The sequence below is a fragment of the Homo sapiens genome, chromosome 11, assembly GCF_000001405.40.
Source record: "Homo sapiens chromosome 11, GRCh38.p14 Primary Assembly".
Taxonomy (NCBI): Eukaryota; Metazoa; Chordata; class Mammalia; order Primates; family Hominidae; genus Homo; species Homo sapiens.
This window is the reverse complement of record NC_000011.10, coordinates 30,544,527-30,568,799: the sequence shown is the minus strand read 5'-3', so window position 1 is coordinate 30,568,799 and position 24,273 is coordinate 30,544,527. Positions and strand designations below refer to the sequence as shown.

The following is a 24,273-nucleotide window of genomic DNA, read 5'->3' as shown; positions in this document are numbered from 1 at the left end:
GGTCTAAGACAGACCATTAGTGACAGGTACCCCCCATTGGAGGGAAAAAATAATTTAACTTTAAATAAGGGGTTTTGCTTTTTATCCCAATCTCTTTATGCCATAATTGCGTTTTTTGTATGCTAGGGCCTGTTCCCTTCAGCCACTTTTTAAAGATTATTAATACAAAGCAGTCCAGAGTGAGAAGTAGCTTCTGCCTGCCTGTCTTTATGAGGGGTTTATTTTGTCAAGTGTAGAATTAAAATGAGCTGTCTAGTCATTAGTGGATTTTAGTTCTGGTCTCACACTCTGCAGGAAGGGTCGTGCCATGTTATAAACAGATAGCACTGTTTTGCAGGGTGCTGTACCACAGGCTGCAGGAACCATGGTTGAGCTTAACATCTTCATAAAACGGTAAACAAAAGAACATGAAAGAGAGAGAGAGGGAAAGAATGAAGGTTTGTATTTTAGAGGGAGCATTTGAGAATAGAGTGACTGTTGCTAAGCAGAAATCTGGGCACCATTAACATATTTAAAAATGAAGTCATTTGAGAAGTTCCAAAAAGAAAAAAAAAGTATACCCAGAACTACTACTAGTGTCTTATCTTTATAGCAGGGATCATAATCATATATGCTTCAAAAAGTAATGGTGAGGGTTATAGAAGATAATGCTTAGTGCCCAGTAAAGCACTTAGTGCAGTATCTAAATGTTCCATGTATGGTGGCTATTATTGTTAATAATATTGTGTGTCTTTATTGCCTCTAAAACATTAACATGAGCTTCTGCAGTTTTAATAGTGATATGTAGTCCATCATCACTATAAGTTTTTTCGTGCCTTTAAGTTTGGTGTGTCTGTTTTATTCTTGTGAAGAAGTTTTTAGGGTTTTGCTCTCTCCCAAGGGAGACACAGGGAGGGAAGGATTGAGTCTCTGTTAACCTGGTAGCCAGGGGCAGAGACTTAATAAACACTTAGCTCCTTGCCTGCTGCCTGAGACAGTGTAACTCTCAGTGATGTGTCTTTTACTGGAGTTGTGGAATTTGCTTGGGTGAAAATGTTCTCAAGTTTATAGGGGTTCATGATAATAGTGTTGGCCCTGAAATAAAGCACCATTTCTAAATATTCCACTTTCACTATCCTTGTATGTCTTCTTTCTCAGTGTTTTTCAAAGAGAACAGGATAAGTGCTTGGGCACTACTTTAGAACACAGATTATAATCAGACTTTGGGATTAAGACGTGTAGCCAATGTATTAAATTAGTCACTTAGTAACTGTTTGAGTATGAGAATAAGAAACTGGAGGGAGGAGATTGGGAGCTGGAAAAAAAGCACCCCCTGATTGCTCTCGGGGAGGCTGGGAAAAAGGATTTAACACTTTGGATTTTTTAGGAGACATTAAAACTCTGATGGGATCAAATTACTTGACTGCACATCTGAAACATGAAACTCTTGCCCTAAACCGTGCAATTGAGTTAAGCTCAAAATTCTAGGCCTGCCCCTAAGACTGGCCTCTGGGTAAGCCTCATTGTTGATCGCAAAATGATTTCCTTTGAGAGGAACAAGACTACAGTGAGGTTTTTATGGCCAATTTGGTCTGTGCATTGGTGCCAGCCAGACTTTTGGCAAGAGTTAGTGCCAACTTTGGTGATCTGTCCACCGAATTTTTCCCAAGGTCTTCAAAACCGTCTGGATTTACTGCTGACATTGAAGGAAAGATGCATTATAAGTCCAGCTTTCTAGGCACACCTCCTGTATTTTTTGTTTTTTCAAGTAGAGAGATACTGAGAGGTGCCAGAGAACAACAGGCTGATCCGTGGCCGTAAACTTTGAGTCACAAAAGAATGTTGACAGTCTTCTTCACTAAACACTATTTTCTCTCTCTAGCTTTGTCCCCTTTTTAGGGAGCCCCTGTCCTTCTCTCTGGATTAGGTGTCCCCTTATACATACTCCCAGAACCTGTGAGTGATACTGTCCTTTGGCTGCACTTATCTTAAATATATTCTTGAATTGTTGGTGAAATGTGTGTCTTCCACTAGGATATAAGCTCTATGAGGGCAGTGACCTTATCTTTTTCGTTTTATTTATTTTTTGCTGTCTGTATTCACAACACCTATCACAATGCTAGGCATGTTCTGGAGACTCTGTCAACACCTGTTGAATGAATGAATGAATGAAAGCTGAGTTTGCAAGGATTCGAGGAATTAACATGTGCTTCCCCAGGAAGTGAGTGCTGCCTTGTAATCACTCATTCATTTTGAGAGCATGTATGTAGACTTGAGGGTGTACTTGGCTTTAAAAAGGGTAACTTATGTAAGTCTCCCGTGTTTTTTTCAGGATGGAGCTGGATGAAGCTCAGAGTGAGTATTTCTGATACTCGTACACTAATGCTATCATCTCTGCCTTCAGTTGACTTTTGCTTTGACAGTAGTAAACTCTCATTTCTAACATAGGAAAAAATATCAAAGCTTCCACTTTCAATGTGACCCTAGAGATTTGGGTTTTCTATATTGTTCTTTAATTTTAAAATGGAGGCATCGGAAAGTATATTGTTTTAACTCCTTATAAAGTGCTCACTTATTGATCATATTTGGAGTCAACAATTATCGGTCAGAAGCATTAAATTAATTAAGATATATTTCAGCCCACTTACCTGGAACGTGACAACTGCTCCTAATATGTGGAGTTTACTTGAAATGAAGACCATGAAAACGGGTCATCTGTCATCATGGGAATCATGCGTTTTGAATAAGGCGAACCAGTTTTTATTCTGTACTCTGATGTTTAACAACTCTACATTTTTTTTTTAATAGTAAACTCTTAAAATTTTTACAGAACAACTTTTTTGACAAAAATCTGTGATTTGGGTTAAATACAGATAACACCGTCATAACAGTATTGGTATGGCAGTGGTTGAAAACCATTCTTAAAAACATTGACTTAAAGGTAAAACAAAGGAAATTCAAAGTAAGTATGCAATGGAGTTCTAATTGTGGGTGACTAAACTGTCAACACCTTGAAAAGCAAATGATCAGGAAAAGATCCTGCTGTAAACTGCCAGGCTTAAGAAAATTTTACATGGCACAGAAATTAAAAGAGGGGAGATACTAAGAAAGAGAAGTCTGTATCACAAGCACTTTTGGGGCAGGAAGTTTTTAATTTAGATGACTGACTTCAGGTTTTCTCTCTAACTTTCCCTGTGGCTGTGTCTACTAAGGAAGGTGTTGTATAATTAGACTTTCTGGAGATGACCTTTGGCTGAAGACCTAATTGAGTCTCTGGACTTGAGTGCAGGGTTGGAGCTGGAGGAGCTTTTTGCCCTGTAGGTAAAGGGGCTCTGATGGACCTACGTCTTTGATAAGTACCTGTAGGGCTGGCAGTGACATTGTTTAGGTAAATTATGGTTTAGTAATTGAGGAGTCAGTGCTCCTTAGTATATGAAAATCTTTCTTTAAAATAGGGAAGACACCAAAATCCACATGCGCAATTTAAATGAGCCTGTATTCTGCATTATAAATATGCACCGGATGCCAAGTAGAAAACCGGAACACTCTCTCAGGATGCTGTTAGGGCCAAGCGGAATCTCATTAGGGACAGCTTCAAAGATCAGTTCCTCGCGTCCATAAAAACAAGTGTAAATTATCTGGTGCGCGCCTGCTGTTAGCAGTTGCGGTGTTGCATTATGCATGATTCAAGACTGCACAGGGGAGACACAGGCTGCACGGAGTTCCACAATATATGTGGGGATTTCTCTACCCATTTTTTTCTTTTTGGTGCTGAGTCCTACATTTTGGAAATTTATTGGTGTGTTTCAGTTAATGGAGGATGTCATATATAACTCACTCTTACATTTTTGATGAATTGGAGTCAGTTCAGAGAGGAATGATAAGGTTCTGAATTGTTTACATGAACAGCCACGCTACTCAGATTTATGTATCTTGTTTGCTCACACATGGAGTCAGATTGGGGGGCATGAATGCATTCCATGCACATAGAATTGAGTGCATTTGTTTCAAGGACTCTCTCCCTCATTTTGGTCTCTTGGTTAGATTTTTTAAAATAAGTGTGAATGCTCAGTAAATTAAGAACATGTAGTCGAGTTTAACATATAAGGCTTCAATAAATAGTTTTGTAATAAATGCCTAAGGGTCTGAAAATATATTTCTGAGCTTCATTGCCTGAGGAGACAGGGAAGCAATATAGTGTTTAAGAACGTGGTTTCCAGAAGCATACTGCCAAAGTTTGAATCTTGGTCTCCCTCTTACTCTCTGTGCAACTTTGAGTGAGTTACTTGACTTCTCTGTGTTCTTATCCATAAATGTGACCTCTCTGTGTTCTCATCCATAAATGAGGGAAGCAAATAGTACTTTTCTCAAAGGGCCATTGCAAAGGTTAAATCAACTGCTTTAAGTATAGTACCTACCAAATTTTCTGGGGACGTAGTAAGTTCTATAGAAGTGTTTCATTTGGTGTTATCGTCATGATCAGAGGTAGAAGACCTTCCAGTGCAGCTGGGCATGACTAGGTATAGAACACCCAGAGCCTGAATTTATAAGCCTATGTTTGCTTGAATGGATAGATATACATGAAAGCTGAGGGCAGACAAAGTCAGGGAATGATTACCTTGGGGTCAATTAGAAGAAGCCACTAAAAATACAAAATGCTTAGTAGATGTGTATCTTGCCAGCCCAGGTGACTCACAGAGATAAACATGAGATCTTGAGAAAAGGTTAAGACATAGTAGCAAGAGGGAGTTAGCTTTCCTCTAGCCAGAGTAGAAGAAAGAGTTTGTCAATTTCCTTTTCCCAGTTGTTTCTCAAGGCCTGTTCCCAGAACAAAGAAGCATGTGGGAGAAAGATCAAAAGATCAGCCTTACACAGTGTCTCATGACTTAAATCCATCAATTTCCCAGCACAAGTTACCTCCATTTTGACATGTACATTCGCTCCTATAAGGGGATACCCACACATAGCAATATTGCCCTTTCTAGACTGGAAGCCCTATAAGGGCAGGATTGATGCTGGCTGATCTTGAATCCTCTGCCTTGTCCATGATTCAGTAACAAATTCATCTTTGACAAATCAATAAACAGTCTTCAATATGTATTTCTCCTGTCATTTTGTCCTCACAGTAAATTCTCTCTGAACTCAGAATCTCCCCACCCTCTTTAGAGTTGCCTCTGCTACTAACATGCTTACCTAAGCACTAGTTAATGGCCTATCATGCTTGCTTCAGTGTCCCTCCTTACAGTTTGCTGAAATTGCCCCTACTATCTCCTGTCACTTACTTATCAATACCTTAAGAATGGTTTGTTGGGAGCTCTCATTTTTTGGCACTAAGTGATTGAGGCTACCTTGGGTATTCTGTAGAGGTGAGCTGCGCCAGCATTACTGCCTGACTTCCACCTCCTGTCAGATCAGCTGCGACATTAGATTCTGATAGGAGCCCAAACCCTATTGTAAACTGTGCATACGAGGGATCTACGTTGCTTACTCCTTATGAGAATCTAATGCCTGATGATCTGAGGTGGACCAGTTTCATCTTGAAACGTACCCCCTCATACCCCCATCTGTGGAAAAACTGTCTTTCACCACACCTGTCCCTGGTGCCAAAAGGGCTGGGGACTGCTGATCTATAGGACAGGGAGGGAGGAAATGAGCAAGGAGAGTGGGATGTCTGGGGGAAGCTGGGTGTCATTGAAAATGTTACAGTAAATCAATAAGTATTTATTAGAAGTAGCATGGGATGCAGGGATCCTGGTTGTTTTGCTTCTCGTTTTATCCCCAATGCATAGTACAGTGCCTGATGCATAAATAATTATTGATGAACAAATTAATGAAGGAATGTTTTATTTGGTTTAGCAGTCAGGATAATATAGAACCATAAACCCCCAATCCTTGTCTGCTAGCGTGTCTTGCCTGTTTACAGAGACAATCAAATGCATCTGAAATAAATAATATTTAATAAAATAATCATGTGTGCATTATTGGTAATAGAATATCAAGGTTCTTAAAGTACTTTTGTGCTGTACTCACTGTGAAGGAAACAGAAGTAGAGAATTTTACGTATGGCCTACTGGCAGCCCAGAGAGGTTGAGTGATGTGCTCAAGGTCAAGCAGAACTGCTGGTTTCTAGTACAGAATGTGACTCTTTATGACCCTTAATAAGCTGTAGGTGCCTAAGGAACTTACAGTTTGGGGCACAATAAATGCTAACTGAGTAGGAGAAGCAAGGAAGAATTCAAGAACATGTCTAAAATAAGATTTTTTGGGCGTCTGCCTTAGTTCTACTGAAATGCTTTACAATGTTATTTCCTAGTTTTTCCCTGTAGGCATGCATCAGGTTTGATTCTTCTCCCAAACGTGAAAGAAGGTAGGCTTCCCGTAGGAGGCAGCCTGTGATGGAAAGCAGTTTAAAATAAACAGGAGCAGCTATTTTCTGCCCTGGAAGATCACACATTACTTTCATTTCAGAATATGTCCTCCTGTTTCTACCACTCTTTTGTCCTTTGGTTCTTCTCAAGTCTGGCAGCATCTTCTGGCCTTATGGGCTCCAGAAACCACTGCCATTTCCTATTCAGAGCCTGTGCACACTTGGACAGCAATTGCATTTTTGCTTGGTTGTGGGAGTTGAGAAGTATGTGGCCATATGCTGTGGCTTGGATAATGGCTTACATTTCAAACAAGTTAGGTGGTTTCTGGCCCACTGCTTGCTGTGTGTGGAAATGAGCAAACCTATATGCTTCTAGGTCTTTTCCATTTGGAGACATGAAGATGAAAGGTGGGATGCTTCAACCCAGTACATTTTACAAAGCTCAGTTTGAGTGTGGTTTTCAGATCTGACTATGGTCGAGTATCAAAGATCAAGGGTAACTTCAAAGGCACCACCATTTTTGAGAAGTTCACAGAGGTTACTGTTTGTAAATGATGTCTCTGACCAAAAGGAAGTGGTGTTACTGCACAGAAAATTGCTTCTGTTCTCTATCATTGGTGTTGGCATCACTTGGTAGGCTACTGAAGTGCATCTTCTTCTTTAGGGTTGAGAAACCCTGTGGTCACAGGTTGCTCCACAAGGAGCACTTTTAGCCACAGGCAATTTTCCTTTTGGAAAATGTGGGGTGGCAGGTGTAAGGTATCACATTAAACTTCTTTATGTTGGACTGCAGCTGGGCCCAAGTTGGCTTTGATAATAACCCTCTTTGCCTAGGTTGCTACGATCTAGCTATCAGTAAGGCTGCAGCCAGACTCCTAGGATGTTGGCACAGTGGCTGGTGGCTGGGCATTGGTTTATTTGCCAGCATTGAGCCAGTATTACCTGTTAGACCTTTAAAAACTGAGCATCTCAGGACATACTAGAATTCTTCCAGCTCTGTTGCTTTTCTGGGAAGTTCAGAGATGGCATTTGGCAGTACATTCACATTTAGTTGAGACTGTTGAACTTCACATTAAGTTGAACTATTGAACTTCATAATGAGGAAATTATCTAATAAAAGCTCTAGTTTTTGGTGATGATTAAAAACAGTGGCTCTGGAATGCTCAAGACCCCAACTTAGTAGGCAGAGAAGTTCATAAAATACACATTGTGCAGAGTCCAACTAGTGAATATACTGGCTGTAGCAGTATTTATTTCACTGTAGAAATTATATATCTATGCAGTCCATATTGAAATAAGTGTGTGTGTGTGTATATGCACACCCACATGAAGGTTTAAAATTAAACATAGATGAAAATGCTTGCAGAACACTCCTTTTGGCTATTTAAAAAACAAATAAAACATTGGACATGTTTGCATGTGGGTTGAACACCTCAGCTAACGATTACTCACACAGTTGACCTTGTTTTCTATTCAGGGCACCAAGAAGCCACGTTGTTAAGCATATTGGGTCAACCCAGGGTTCACGTTAACATCATTTTTCTTTCTGTGGAGATGTAAAGGTCTTCAGCCTGATTGTTTTCTTTTTCTTCCACACCAGGTGGGGGGTAGCATGATTTTTGCATGACTATGGGCCTGCTCTATAAATAAGCAGATTCAGTCCTTTGTTTTAAATGTAATCAGCAAGATTGCATTTGCATCGCCTGTAAGTGAATCACATAAGTGAAATTACATTGCCTGCATCTCATTTGGTATCATAAAATGTTATGGGATGCAGGCTGTTTTTCTCCAAGTAAAGTGTCTTGAGTTAGTATTAGGGTGCTTGCTTTCATTTTCCTTTGTGACCAAATTTGTGGCATTCTACGGAGCTAGGGCTTGTATTTTCACTTATGTTAGTTGCTAGAGAAATACTTGTTCATGTCCTCTAGAATAAGCTAAGATATTGGTTCAGTAGGGGGTAAATGGGAGTTTTAAGACTATCTCATGCCGTGTAGCAAGTGATTGCTAATCACTTTCTGTCGTTTGTGACAACTTCTGCTTACTAAGAGTAAATGCCAGTCAGTGTTGGTTGGAAATATAAAGCAATCTGAAGCTTTTCAGGCAGTTGGCCACAGAAAATGGTTAACATATTTTTTTTTTTTAAAAAAAAAACTTGTTAGTCATCTTTTAAGCAACTACTATGAAATACATATCTTAATTGACCCTTTAAGAGGTATCCTTAAGACAGAGGACTCAGAAGTCATTGTAAGATTCTCCCACTTATTTTCTTGAAAACAAATAAACACAATAAAAATAATTACTGACTTCAAAAGTCAGTAATTTTGGTGACAAATGAGAATGCTGTATTTCATACAACACCTCCCCTCTCCCCTGAGGTTTTCTTAATTCGTGAATGCTGGTGGAAGTCAAAGCAAAGGTATGAGTTCTTAGATAACCTATAACACAGTGTGGTTACCCACAAAACATCTGTTTATTAGCTACATTATTGATAAAACTCCACAAGGCAACAGGCAGCTATAGTGCCCATTATGCCCTTTGGCATAATGTGAAGACTATTTTCAAAATAGGGCATAATGTGAAGACTATTTTCAAAAAGGAAATACATGTGAAGACTATTTTCAAAAAGAAAAGGCATGCCAGTCATAATGATATACCAACACAGTGTAGGTGCTTGATACAAAATGCCCTTTGGTTATTTGGAGAGGTATTAAATTTAGTATGCCTCACATGGAATAAAAATAATTTATTTTTGAAATTATATTTAAAAACTAAAATTAAAAAAATAACTTTCAAACATAGCTTATAATTTTTTCTATAAGACTTTGAAGGAGATACGCAATTTTGTGTTCCCATATTATTTAAAAGAATGTATCTAGGAAAAACATTTCATTCGGAAGGAGAAGATTGAGTATAGTTTCTTTTTAATTAGTAAGCTTTTAATTGACACATCATGCAAGTTAAAATGTATACAAATTAAGCATGTTCATGCAATAAATTTCCACAAAGCAAAATACTCATGTGATCACAATTAACTATGGTTTTAAAGATCATTTTTTTGTTTTAGTTTGCAAAATAATATTATGAAGTCATAAGAATTTAAATATGATTGCAATTTACAATACATTTTTATTAATAAAAGTTGTAAAGACCTTTGTTACTATTGCTCTGTGGTTTACAAAGAAGATAATTGTGAACACTGGGATCCCGTTGGGTTCCTATAGATTCCCCTGCAGCTGGGTGTTTTAGGGCATAGAATTACATATGTGACTATTGTGACTTTTATTTCAACTGGACTCTAAGGAATACTTTTCATTAGTAGTCATTTAAGATTTCCTGGAAGCTCTTCTCTGTGATTTGAAAAATTCTCTGGATAATATTTCCAAATTGATGACCTTCTGGAGTTAAAACAACTTTTTCTTTGGTCTAGCTTTAAAGATATCTTTATTTTCTATTCCATTCATCACCATTTTTTCATTGAAAAAATTAACCATGCTTATCCCACTTCAAATGAGCAGCTGCACTTTGAAACTAGATCCTTCTTTTGGCTGTAATTGTCCAAATGAGGAGGACCAGGTTTGTGGACTATTTGAAAAGAATTGGTTGTGACTCAAAGCATTTTTCTGCTTTCAATTTTTCTCTTCAAATTTTAGTGTATTCCCAAGCCAGAAAAAAAAAAAGAAAGAAAGAAGGAAAGAGGGAGGGAGAAAAGGAAGAAGGAAGAAAAGAAGGAAGGGCTGGGCAAGGTGGCTCCTGCCTGTAATCCCAGCACTTTGGGAGGCCAACGCAGGGTTATTACTTGAGGCCAGCAGTTTGAGACTACCCTGGGCAACATAGCAAGACCCTGTCTCTATCAAAAATTAAAAAAAAAAAAAAAGCTGAGTGTGGTGGCACATACTTGTATTTCTAGCTACTTGAGAGGCTGAGGTGGGAGGATTGCTTGAGTCTGGCAGGCCAGAGCTGCAGTGAGCTGTGATCAGTCCACTGCACTGCAGCCTGGTGGCAGAGCAAGATCTTGTCTCAAAAAATAAAAAATAAAAAAAAAAAGAAGGAAGCAAAAGAAAGAGAAAGAAAAAGGGGAAAAAAGTTTACAAAGTACATATAAGTAAGGCAGTTCTTACCTGGGAATAGCTGAACTATAGCTTTTGAGGAAAGAGAAAGATATAGGATGATCCCAGAATTTCAGCATGAGAACGACTATTGGGTTTGAAGTGTGACTATAAACCACTCAGCCAGACTTTTCTTTCTTTTTAATAAATTTACCAGAATAGGTAAAATAATAATAATAAAATACATACAAAATATATACGTGTGTGTGTGTATATGTGTGTGTGCATGTTCTATTGGTTGACCAATTCCTGCAATACCAATATCACTGAAAACAATTGTGAAACCACTTTTTGAGGATTGTCCTTGGAGCCAGGTCATGGGCACATAAAGAAAGAGTTCTTCATATTTTCCAGCCACAGACATTATCTTTACTCGTATTTATTTATATCTTCCTAGCAAGGCCCTTAGGTTCCAGTTCAACACGCCCAAGGAATAAAATTCATTAGTGAGTTCTCACATTTGACTTTCTCCCTCTGACCATGAGGCTCTTCTTACCAGGCTAATGTTTCTTTGATTGGATCCCTCATGGTCATTGCCATGAAGAGTTCTCACATACATATTACTATAGCAACTTTTCACTTATCTTCAAATATGTTGGACTGACTGTCAGAATGTTGACCCAGCAGTTGATCCAGATCATTCTATATAAATGGGAATATGGGAGACGGAAATAATTGCACATTCCATTGTTAACAGCACCAAGGTAGCTGGTTAGAGATGTTTATTGATTGGTTATTTAGCCAGTAGCCTTTCCTTAAAAGAAAACAAAAGGAAACTAACAATCATAATGGATGGACATGTGCTAAATCTCATAACTAGAAAGAATATTTGTAAATAAACATGAATTATAGCTCTGTTTATTATACAATAGTGAGAGCTAATAATTTGCCTTGACATAATAGCTGCTTTCGAGCTATCATGAGTCATGAATAAATGAAAATACCTATAAATTTCCAAAGTATATTTGAATTCTTATATTTTGCATTATAGGAAATGATACATTTTCTCCAACAAAGCGTTTTAATTGATATCTCCAGTTAAGATAGAAATATTCTAAAACTTACTTTAACCTTATAAATGAAATAGCAAATACAGCTGTTTCAGAGTTTTGATATATATATTATATATATATAATTTGCTTATTTGGCACAGTCATTCTTTTATTCATTCGCTCATTGAATTCCTGCTATGTGCCAGGCACACAAACAAACTGAATCTAGCACTGTTTAACAAAATTGAAATGATAATCTCATAAATGCATTATGGGGGAAAATGTTTCAATGTAATGCCCAATGTATCAGTCTTGATGCAAAATTTGTGATAGCCTAGAGTGTAAAACTAACCCCCTTATGATTTTGATTTTTTTTTATTCTGATGATCTTTTCCTCATCTTATTGCCCTAACTTGGTTCAACACTGCTTTTGGGGAATCCCTTCTCTTTCTTCTTACATTTTCTGGCCTATAGGGTCATATGGCTTAAGTTAGAACAAGGAGACCAGTCAAAAAGAGCCAAGGCAGACAAGGCAAAATCTACAGAAATGATAATAATAGTAATGATAATAAATAATATGGCTACCATTTATTGAATGCTTATTGTGTACCAAGCCAAGTGTTAATTGTTGTAATATATTATATCATAACCCTAGGAAGTGAGTGGTGTTATTCCCATTTTGCAGATAAGAAAACCAAGGCTAAAAGAGGCTGCCAAGGGTGACCTGGGTTTTACAGCTTGTCAATGACACACAACTTTGCCTGAATCTATAGGCCATGCTAATCTGTCAAGGAAGCAGTGACAGACTTGTGGATTAAAGGTTTGGATTTGACTATTTTATTTTCTTTTCCAAACAATGTTCATGATAAAACCATGTGGAATTGAAGTCATGAAGAAGCATGAGGTAAATGCAATCCAGACCCACAAACATATTTTTGGGATAGTTCCACTGATTGAGATTCTATAGAGAAGCATGACCTAGGATGACATCTTCACTCAGAAACAAATATGGAGGAATTCATTGTTTGGAGGTTGGGGAATGGCATGGAGAAGAGCATATTGGGTTAAGAGTCAAATGGTGTAGGCCTCCATTCCTTAGTCTGTAAAATGAGACTAATACTGGTTAGAGAAGATGGTCTCCAAGGATCCTTACATTTCAAGCATTCTAAGCTTTTAGGCTGAAGTTACTTAAAATTCTTTGTATTATTAGTTCCCGGACTTTCCACTGAAAGGCTACAGGGATTGATGATAATGCAGGAGAGAGTGGCAAATGGAAACCTCACTCTCGTAAGTCATGGAATTACAGAAGGAACACTCAAGGCTATTAACTTTCAGCTGAACATCTAAAACTGAGTGGAAAAATTTAAGAAGGAAAAGATTTTCTCTACCTTGAGGAATCTTTGGCCTGTGGAAGAAAGAGATTTCCTAAAAGAACATGTCAGTATGGGAGTATTAAAAAAATATGTGGAGACTGGGCTGGAATGAAGAATTTGAGATTCCAGGGGAATGTGCAGAGGATTTGTTTTTTTCATTGGTTCATAGACATACTCATTGTATTAGTCCATTTTCATACTGCTATGAAGAAATACCTGAGACTGCGTAATTTATCAAGAAAAAGAGGTTTAATGGACTCACAGTTCCACACAGCTGGGAAGGCCTCACAATCATGACAGAAGGTGAAGAAGGAGCAAAGTCATGTCTTACATGGTGGCAGGAAAGAGAGCATGTGCAGGGGGTCTGCCCTTTATAAAACCATCAGATCTTGTGAGACTTATTCACTATCATGAGAAGGGCACGGGAAAAACCTGCCCCCATGATTCAGTTACCTCCCACTGGGTCCATCCCATGACACATGGGGATTATGGGAGCTACGATTAAAGATGAGATTTGGGTGGGGAGACAGCCAAACCATGTCACTCATCTAAGAACCATGTGAACAGTAGCCTGAAGTACTCTAGGTCTGAAAATTCCTAGTTTCAGCCTTGCCACTGACTCACACTTTGATATTAATATCTGGGTCTCATTTTCTTATCTGTAAGATATAAAGTAAGTTTCTAAAACTGCTTTCTGGTGCCACAAATCTGTGATTTGGGGTATCTTGATATCACTATAGCAAGAGAGTCACAGTGTTGAGGTGGTGTTTGGGGTGCCTGGACTGTCAAGTGGACTGAGTCCTGGCTGAGTGACCAGTTCAGAGGACATGGACTAAAATAGTTTCCATGAGGAGGAAGAAAAAAAGTCCAACATTAGGAAAATAATTTGTAGTTGAGTGAGAATAGTTTGTCCTGTGGGGTGAATTAAGTAGATGATGGTAATTCTGCTTTCATATACCATGGCATCTGGGAAATGGTGGAGGAGACAGAATAGTCTAAACCAGCACAGCTGTGGAATCTGGGAGACTATCTGCATTTGGGGCTGGTGTGAATTGTGGGTTTGGAGAGGACAAGAAATCACAATGAGCAGTGTACTTAGAGAACTGATGTCAGAGAAGCCAGCATGTGACGTCAGGCCTAAGGACAGACACACGTGGGGATCTTCTAACCCAAAGAAAATGTGGTGCAGGCTGGGCATGGTGACTCATGCCTGTAATCCCAGCACTTTGGGAGGCCAAGGTAGGCAGATCATTTGAGGTCAGGAGTTCAAGACCAGCCCGGCCAACACAGTGAAACCCCATCTCTACTAAAAATGCAAAAATTAGCTGGGCGTCGTGGCAGGCCCCTGTAATCCCAGCTACTTGGGAGGCTGAGTGAGGCACGAGAATCTCCTGAACCTGAGAGGCAGAGGTTGCAGCTGAGATGGTGCCACTGCACTCCACCCTGGGTAACAGAGTGAGACTCTATCTCAGAATGAAACAAAACAACCTCTAAAATGCAGAGCAAGTGGCAAACATCTAATGGATATTTTGGAGTTTCAGAGCAAAAATTTTAAAACAGGAGACTACCCTTCAAGGAACAGGACAAGGACATACTGCAGTCCCTGGAGTTGTGGTAGGATAGCAAAGCTTAACAACAGGAAAGAGGCAGAAGCCCATTTACTAGAATTGAAGTGAAACACAAGCAGTGGCAGACAAGCAGAATGACTTGTCTCTGAGCAGTGTGAAGCCTGCATTAGGATTTTTCTGAGTGCCACCTACAATCAGGGTGGGTTTAGGAGCCTGGCCTTGGACTAAACTGAGTGATGGGCATAAAGTTGCCACGGCTCTGTGTAGGGGATTGACATGAGGGCGGAGAACCAGTCTCTGCAGTTGCTGAGAAATTCACAAAGTACCCAAGGACTCTAAATTGGGCAGGCTGCCTCAAGACAAACCAAGAAGTCTAGGAAGAGTGTACTTTTTGTTCTCAGTTCTTGGTTTGCTTCATGAAGTTAACAAAAAGAAGCAATAGTCCTAGGTTCTTAATCTCTAGGTCCTTGACCTTATGCTTACGATTATTTACACTCATAAATTGTCAGTGCAATATGACTCCCTGACAGCTTCCTCCTCCTTGCAGTATAGGCTTTTCTTCTTGTTGACAATAATTCTGCAATCCTTACACTCTCTGTGCCAGAGATGGTGCTTGGCATTGTAGGTACCATGTTTAACACTCAAAGAACCCTTTGAAGTGGCTGCTTATCCCTCCCGCATGTGGCTTGAATCAGAATTCAGGCCCAGCTCTTATCCTGACAAAGCCCATTGTTTTCCATTAAGCCATCCTGACTTTCAACTTGAAGCAGTTTCTTTCCTGTTTCTCAATCTTATTTTAACAGGAACGGTGAAGATTTTCAAAATTCCAGCTACTGTGCCTAGAAGTGCAAAAATGCTCTTTTGTATTTGCTTAACCTTTAACTGCTTAAAACAAAAATTCGTGTTTGTTGTTTGTTTGTTTGAACCATAAGAAATGCAAATGCAACTTAGAAGTTGTTCTGTAAGACCACACAACCATTTTTAAATTCAAAGACTTAGCTTTGAATCTTGGATTTTTAGATGATGGTCATACATGTGCATGAGGGTGTTAAAAGAGCCTTGGTAATTGTGATTTCTGATTTCAGTGTTACAGTCTATGACTATTGCAAGTTCTACATTGTTTTTTCTACCTAATGCTTGCCCTTCTGCCTTCTTTTTTAAAAAAGAAAATATAATGAACGTGGTCTGTTATTTAAAAAGTGTGTTTTATGGTGCAGTTCATGGCAAATGGTGTTGAGTGGTGATGGAACAGTGATTTTTGGAAATAAACTGAGTAGGGCAAGAGGAGAAAAGAAGGAATTCACATCTGCACCCTTGGTTTGCATTGGAACACAGGCAGCAGAGGTGGGTGGGAGGTGTTTGTGCTCTTCCCTGTGCTCACCGTGGGTGGCCGGGCCTGTCGAGAACATTATTTTATTTATCCTAGAGGAGTTGCTGTAATTGTTGACCAGAACTACTGGCATTTGGGGTTCACACATCACTGGACTCAGGGTCTGTTGGCATTTGAAGAGTAGGACTCATGGTGATTCTTACCTATCGTGAAAAGTGATGTACCTAGTTCCCAAAATGGCTTGGTTTATGACCACAGGCAGGCCCCATCCTTAGGGCTGTGTGTCTAGAAATCTTGTCTGGGCCTGACAGCTTAAAAGCCTTTGGGGGGTATAGCAAAGGGAAATGGTTAAGAAAATTGTGACAAAACTAACCTGTGAAATATCCCACAGCCAGTGAAAACGTTTATAAAGAGTCTGCAGTAACATGGAAAATGCTGACGTTATAATGGTCTAAACGGAGAGAGAGAGAAAAAACAAAACGAAACAAAACAAAACAAAAACAGAAAGAAAGAGAACCCAGAATATAACATTTTGCATGCAGAATGATTCCAATTATATTTTTAAAATGCATAGCAGAAAGATGAAATGGAAAGATACCAAAATGTTACTAGTAGCTATCTCTGGGAGGCAGAATTATGGGTTCATCTTTCTTTGCTTTTTATATACATATTCTTAATTTTACTAACGTTAATTATCCCTAACTTTAGTAAGCATATATTACATAACTAGGGTAAAAAAAGCATTTTCACAGTAAAAATAAAACTTCTTATATTTTGGGGAAACTCCCGTTTGTGGATCGGGGAAATTTGCTTGTCCCTTGCCATTCTGGCTTCGCAGATGGCTCCTGTTTGACCAGATTAACGCAGGACATTGTGTTCAAGAACACCTACCTATCTGATAGGAGTACTGAGGTGCTATAGAAGATGACAGTTTTAATAGTACCGGATGAATAATAATTTTAAGAGATGGAATTGACTTATGAAGTGTAAAATGACATGATTTTTTTCCCAGTTAGGGTGTAGGATGCTTTATTATCTGTTTATGAGAGACCTGTATTTGGAACACTTCATCAAGGAGTGTGTTCAGGTTTTTTCAACCTAGTGAAATTAGGGCAATCCTGAGAAATTTTGCAGAGGCAGAAAAACAACAAAACAATTCCAGTAATTATGGGTCATTTATACCGTGCTCAGTGCATTCTCATTACTTCTTCTTCATAACATCCTTATGAAGTATTTTTACCCCTAACACAGATGTGAGAATACTGAAGTATGAGGTTGAGTAACTTGCCCATATTCCAGAGGTTGTCCGTTTGTGTATTTGGGATTTAAATCCATGCTGTTTGTCTCTAGAACTTACTATGCTCATAAAGTTTGCTGGGGAGTCTAGAAAACTTCATGCAGGAATTTATATTAAACCATCTGTTTTTCTTTTAAACGAAATAAGAGATAGAAGCAAATAATACTTGGATCAGTAAAAACACCTGACAAAAGACAGCACTTTTCAGTTTGTAGTGTGTTTTCTTTTTGACAGTATCAAAATGGACCAAACTAGAATTCATAAATTTATTAGATATTTTAAAAGGAATTTATTTGAAATCAGGAGAAAACTTACAATTTTTCAACTTAGCATTGAGTTTGTGTAGACAAAAGCATTGGACAGGGAGGGACTATAGGTAAGCTGAGGAATTCTATTCCTCTTATAACAGAGGCCTCATGATTTATAGCATCTCTGACTATGGGGAAATTATGTAACCTTGTAAGTCCAGTATTTCTCATCTGTAAAATGGGATTAATAATACCTACCTTATAGGGTTCTCTCAAGGAATGGATGAGGTAATGTTCATAAAGTGCTTGGCATGGTGCCTAAGCGTGGGAATAGTGTTCATTGATGTTAGTGATTATTTTTATTACTGGGGGTTAGGAAGTATAGAGTGTGGATCCAGTTCTGCTGCTAACATTGGCCATGAACAAGTCACTCAACCCTTCTTGTTCTTAGACTCCAATGGGAATAATTACAATGCCCTTTTTACTGATAAGATGAGAATGAATTGAAATTATGTATGAGTCAACTTTTTGAAAAAGTATGAAAGATTCTACCAATATACATGATAAAGATGGAAGGGAATAGCAGGCAGGTCAGAGGGGCAAAGTAGTTAACTTTCTTTGGGTTTAAGTCCTAACTGGGACTTAAACACAAGTCCAGTTTGCATAGAACAAGTTGAGTGAATTATACTCAATCACTTGTGAGAAAACACTGTAACTCAGAAACCCAGCATTACTGCTACCAAATTTTCCTGATGTTTGGCCTCTCATCATGAAGGGGCCTGAACTGGACCTGGCGGGAGATTTTATTGCATTTTTTCCCCAGGCTGTGCTTTCTGGTTAGTAAAGTGTCCCGGACAGACCTGGCTGAGGTTTTACTCTTTCACTCCGGAATGAGAGGAGAATGGAAATAGCTCATTTCTTCAGCCGTGCAAGCCGTGGAAACATCAAATGTGTGTGTGAACTTGTCCATACCCTTCAGGCCAAGTGCTTTTAAAAATTACCTGCTTCCTAAATTGCCACCAGTGCTCTGGGAAGTTTTGCTGTGGTAAACTCCCATCAAAATTCCTGACTATTCTCACATCCCCTCTGCAAGGCCATAATGGGAGTACTGACGGGCTTTGGCTCTGGAAGCAAACATTTAAGAGTCAGGGCAAACAAAGAAAAATTATATTCTAGTCCTGCTGCAGTCATTGAAATGGGTTCAAGATACTCAGTGTGTTTCCTAGTATAGATGACATGCTACAGCAGGGGTGGGAAAGACACAATGATTTCTTTGGAACCAGGGGCTGATTTGTTGTTGGAGATTATAAATCTTTTCACTGACTGTTTCTCAGGCTACCATTCACCCTAGATTCCTACAGGAATCACATTGCCTCCACGGAACAGCGCCAGCCCCAGTGCTAATCAAATTTAATCTATCAGCGAGGACTGCTTTCCTACAATGGACATTGGGGGGCATTGCCCATTAAAATGTTGAGTCATTAGCACTGTCTTCAAAGCAAATCTGAAGGCTTGATAGGTGCTACTATCTTATTATTATTTTAAAAAAGCAATTGATATGGGAGTGGGAAGAGGGGCTGATTTGAACTTAACATGCCCCCTTGGCCACCCCTCCCCAAAAGATGATTTAAAAACAAGCAGTGAGCCAGAGAATTTTCAAGGCTAACTTTCTCACGTGGAAGAGAAAAATTATTGCAATGCCCTTTAGCTAAGTACACTCACTTCAGCCTTTATCGATGGCGGCAGTCACGTGTGCACCTCTTCATGAGGAAGAGAGCTTGAAACAATCACAGGGCAGAACCTCCAGAGACTAGAGCTGGGATGAGCTCTAATAGTAGGGCACAGGGAGTACCTGTGAGGTTTTTGTTTTTGTTTTTAGGAGAAGGCTTTTTGAGGAAGTAATCTTCCTGCCCAAAATTGAAAGTTAAATCTTTTCCATCTTATCCATCATTGCTCTTAACAGAGACAGTTGATATTCCTGAGTTATAGGAGACCTGCAAGTCTCTACAGTAGGCAACTTTGTAGAACTCATATGTATAGATAGTGGGCCTTTTACAGTTTAGCATTCACTTGAGCATATGAAGGAATAAAAAGGAGCAAACAGATGGGATTATGCAAACATGGTGCATTAAGAGTTTCTAGTAAACTTTTAGCAAATGTTGACACAGAATTGAGAATTATCTGAAGTTTATTCTCCTGTCCAAAGTATCCAAGAAAGCAATTGATTGGAAATAGAGCAGGGGAAATTTTGATGTGAACCATAACAAGACTAATAAAATGTAGAAATGACATATAACCAGGTACAGAAAGAAAGCAGTTACGTCCAGGATAAGAGCAAGGATGTAATTGGCTTTGTGTGTTATTTTCATGTGTGTATAGGGATGCATATGCGTACACACTGAATGGGAGCTAACTGTTAAAGTATGTTGTATAAAGTTCGATCTGTATAAAATGTGGTTTGTACTTTGAACTCATATTTTTTTGTTGCTTATAAAGTTTAGAATAAAATAACCACTTATTCCTGAAGGGTATTTGAACTGGTGAGTAGTCACAACTGTAGTCATGATGATTTGGTGTCTAGATTTTTATGTAAATTGGTACCTGGATAATGCATTCCTATTTGGCTTTAGTAATCTTCATACAACTGTGAAGTAGAGAGGCACAAGCTTTAACAAATTTAGAAAAATTCAGGTCACCTGACAAACGCAGTGTCCCCCTGGGAATTAACCTCTTTGTAAATTTGGCACTATGACTCACCTTTGTTGATCCTTTCATGACTCTCTCCCTCTTCAATTTAAATTGTTTCTTTTATGTCTAATGACATTACTCCAGTTCTTTGCTTGGTGACCTAACCTTTCAAGTCCCAGGTAAAATGCACCTTCTTTTGTGAAGATCTACCCATTTTTAAATAGAACTAATTTCTTTCATCAATATTTCTCATAGAAGAATCTCAATAATGATGGCTAACACTTACTGAGCATTCGATATGCACTGGGCCCTTTACAAGCAATAGTTACTTAAGCTGGGCATGGTGGCTAACACCTGTAATCCCAGTGCTTTGGGAGACCAAGGTGGGAGAATCACTTGAGGCCAAGAATTGGAGACCAGCCTGGGCAACATAGCAAGTCCCTGTCTGTACAAAAAATCAGAAAATAAAAACAAGCTGGGTGTGGTGGCACATGCCTGTAGTCCCAGCTACTTGGGAGACTGAGGTGGGAGAATCCCTGGAACCCAGGAGTTCAAGGCTGCAGTGAGCTATGATCGCACCTTTACACTCCAGGCTGGGAGAGAGAGAGACCCCGTCAGTTAAGAAAAAAAAAAGATAGTTACTTAATTTTTGTGTTGATAGTCAATCTTATGAGGCAAGTACTATTATTATCCCTAGTTTATAGATGAGGTAAATGAAGCTTTGAGAGGTTTAGTAAACTTGTCCAGAGTGTCATACCCAGGTAGTGGGAAAGCCATGGTCCAAAGCCAGGTCTTGTGGATTCTGTAAGTGACCTCACTGTTTGCTGAAGTGACCTCTTAATCACTTTATTCTTTCTCCATTCTCCCTCCCCAGTATGTACATAGGTATATATAATTTGTGGTCACATTGATTACAGTTTGGTATGTATGCCCTCCCAAATGAAAGTGTGAGGTTCAAGATAGTAAAAATGGCATCTTCGTAACCTCTGCAAAAGAATATTTTTTTTAAAATTGACTCAAATACAGATATGCAAACACCTGTCAGAAAATTTACTTAGGTTGTTAATGAATGAGGGAACCAAGAAAGTTGTTGTAACAGATTTGTAGAACCATGAATTTATATGGAATAAAAAAATGCTGAAATTAATTTGCAAATGGATCAAAAGTGGAGGGGAAGTCGATTGAACCTCCACTGGACATAATTTATTTGCATCTGTAGACAAAAATTATTTGCATTGCTTTTCATTATCTATAAGTTACAAAGTTATACAATACAAAGAACATAGGCTCATGGTTTAGATAGGCCAGAATCCAGATTCTAACTTCCAAGCTTAATGTTTGACCTTAAGTGAAGTTTGGAGAATTCAGAATATCACACACACATAGCCATACACAAACATCACACAGAGATTTTGAGAAGATTAAAGGTAATAATTTAGAAAAAGCCCCTGGCACATAGTAAATACTGCTAAATATTAGGCGTGATTGTTAGTAGTAATAAAGCTTCTATCAGAGCTCTAACATTTAGTTATTGCTTAGTAAATGTTTGTTGAGTGACTAAATCAGGAGTGAACAAACTTTTCCCTGTTGAAAGAGTTCTGGACATGCCACTCCTGTTGTAGCACAACACAGTAGATGGTAGTTCTCTTTGTTAGTGTTTGAAGTTGCTTAACACTGGAATTGCAGTTAGACCTAGATTTGATTCTCTTCTCAGCCATGTACTAGCTGGGCAATCTTGGGCAAGTCAACCCATCATGTCTACAACTTGGATATACAAACCCTGTGAAAATCATGAGGAAAGTATGATATACTCTGCCAAGGTAGTAAGTATGCATTTCCAGAGAGGGAAGAAAGTAGTCTTTCATGAGTTCTTTGGTTGAGTGGGAACTATGTGAGTTTTGTGGCTAAAAAGTGAACCAGCCATTTCTGCAAGGGATAAAGAGGTAGGGTAAAATAGTTCTTTATTGTTACAAAACCACCTCCAGAGAAACAAATATTAAGTCTAATAATTATTGTATTGAATTAATTTTGAAAGGTGGTTAACTGTTGACATCATGTTGTCTTACAAATAAGCATTTGTCTTCAAACTCACATAAATGATGTCCCCTATGTAGTAAAAAATGGTCTTTTTGTCTTAGGCATTGATGGTTCTTAGAAAGTAAGTTTATCAATTCAACTCAAAGTTGGGAAAAAACAATACAGACCATTAAAAGCCAACTAAAATGGCCACACACTTTAAAGAAGGCCCATTAGCCATGCAAATATGAAGTCACCTGCACTTCCAATAAGCACAATTAACTAAACAATGAAGCCCATTAACAACTACTTGTGGGACATTAAGCTTTGAGGAACTGGGCTTTGATGAGTTGGAAAGGAAGAAAAGACAGAATTTGTTCTCAATTTGGGCTGAATTTTAATAAAAAAGAAATCTTGTAGAGTCAGTTAGGGTCAGTTAATGCTCTTTGTAAACCCCACTCCCAACTCTCTCCCCTACAACATTAAAAAAACAAGCTCGTGTGTTTGATGGCTCTTAATGTTCTTTCTACTGGAGTGAGCTAAGTGAAGACATGTTTGAGGCCGGGCAGTGTTTGGAAATAATCCACATTTTGTTCATGATGTTGTAATGATTGATTTAAAACTATGATTTTAAAATAATAGTTTTAGGCATGTCTCTATTGTTTTTTCCGAACTTTGGGTTGAATTGATAAACTTACTTTTTAAGAATCAGTTGTGGCCGGGCACGGTGACTCATGTCTGTAATCCCAGCACTTTGGGAGGCCAAGGCAGGCAGATCACCAGAGGTCAGGAGTTCGAGACCAGCCTGGCCAACATGGCGTGGTGGCAGACACCTGCAGTCCCAGCTACTCAGGAGGCTGAGGCAAGAGAATAGCTTGAACCTGGGAGGTGGTTGCAGTGAGCCGAGACCGTGCCACTGCACTCTACCTGGGCGACAAGAGCGAGACTCTGTCTAAAAAAAATATATATATGTATATCAGTCATGCCTAAAACTATGTGTCCCATTTTAGAACAGAATCTGCTCTTAGATCTCTGTGTGCTGTTTTGTGTAAGAGGAGATTGTAGAAGCTGGAGTAAAGCAGACATTGAGCAGTCATACTGGAGCAGAGCCACCGCCTATCCCTGTACCTTTGCCCTATTGCTTAATCTGAGTCTCAGTGTCTTTGTGTGCCAAATGGGAAAAAGAGCCTATCGCTGTAAGGGTCAAATGAAAGTGATCCATGTAAAGTGCCCTGTACAGTGCCTGGCTTCTCAATGAAAACTGCTGCCATTTCTCATCATCATCATCATCACTATTACTCTATTCAGCCAAAAAATGATGTTCGTGTCCTGATCAGTGGTATAGATGGCTGTAAGATAGAGCTACGGGAGACTCGGTGTAGGATGTTGTAGTTCATTTTTGACTACTTCTCTACTTCTCCCTTACAGTAGACATTTATGTGATTATCATGATGGTTTCTGTTTACGATAACCATCAATTTCCTGTTGCCTTCACATTCTCTCCTTTGTATTTTCTTCTCAAATGGATTTGGTTTTGTCACTATATACCTAGATTCTTAGCAATAAATTACAAACCAACCTTTCCTCAAGAATCCCCCCACCTCCCATCCTGTAGGGAGCAACCCCACTTTTCCTAAAATTCAGCTTTCCCTGTGGCCCTCTGTTCCTCTTACTGGGTAGAGGGAGAAAGATGTTTTCCATGCCCTCCAGGTTCAAGCCCCATAGTCTGACTCCCTGAGGTTCAGACCCTAATCCCGCTGGCCTTTCAAATCTTCTTCTGCTCACCTTCATAGTGACTCTGCTTCTGCCATGCTTGTTTACTCACAAGTCCCTGAACATGCTAAGTGCTTTCACACCACTCTTAATAGTTCTCTAGATGGCCTTCTTCCTGAGTTTCCAAGTCTTGTGCTTATTTTAATTCCAAGTGAGGTCCCAGCTTCCGGCCACTCTCATGCGTCTTTTTTCTGAGCTCCTAATAGTGCCAATCCTTTGTCTCGTGCATTTGAAATCGACATACTACCTTGTGTTCTGTACCCACTGCAATGTTACCTGTCCTTCTTCCTAGCCCATAGGCAGTGCTGGATATTTTTTCCTTTTACTCCATAGCACCTCAAACATTCTTAATTATAACACTTTGTGCATTATTTCATAAATCACCTATTTACATATCACATGGACCATCTCAGACTGGCTGGTAGCTGTCTCTCCAGCAACTAGCACAGTCTGTGGCCCATAAAAGGTGCTCAATAAATGCTTATGAAATGACTAGATGACAGAGCAGCTACCAGGCATGTTCGTAAGCATTTGTT

At 39.0% G+C, this 24,273-nt stretch overlaps 1 protein-coding gene across 27 annotated transcripts in view, besides 2 other annotated features; it reads left to right on the top strand.

The window, feature by feature from the left end:
- MPPED2 (metallophosphoesterase domain containing 2) overlaps positions 1-24,273 on the top strand; it is a 202,912-nt gene that overhangs the window by 18,191 nt on the left and 160,448 nt on the right. For 3 of the 27 annotated variants that reach the window (NR_165340.1, NR_165347.1, XM_017018231.2), the window contains one exon: positions 12,130-12,264. The exons of 23 other annotated variants lie outside the window; for them this stretch is intronic. The gene's annotated coding sequence lies outside the window, so the exon portion shown is untranslated. Of the gene's footprint in view, positions 1-2,311; positions 2,335-12,129; positions 12,265-24,273 lie in introns of all 27 variants that reach the window. One more of the 27 variants, NR_165338.1, reaches the window with a different exon arrangement.
- Positions 21,336-22,305: an enhancer, noted in NCBI's record as "OCT4-NANOG-H3K4me1 hESC enhancer chr11:30568042-30569011 (GRCh37/hg19 assembly coordinates)". NCBI's record gives its function as "activates a minimal SCP1, AML or CMV promoter by ChIP-STARR-seq in primed H9 embryonic stem cells {active_cell/tissue: H9 hESC(primed)}" and the evidence as "EXISTENCE:reporter gene assay evidence [ECO:0000049][PMID:30033119]".
- Positions 22,306-23,276: an enhancer, noted in NCBI's record as "OCT4-NANOG-H3K4me1 hESC enhancer chr11:30567071-30568041 (GRCh37/hg19 assembly coordinates)". NCBI's record gives its function as "activates a minimal SCP1, AML or CMV promoter by ChIP-STARR-seq in naive and primed H9 embryonic stem cells {active_cell/tissue: H9 hESC(naive and primed)}" and the evidence as "EXISTENCE:reporter gene assay evidence [ECO:0000049][PMID:30033119]".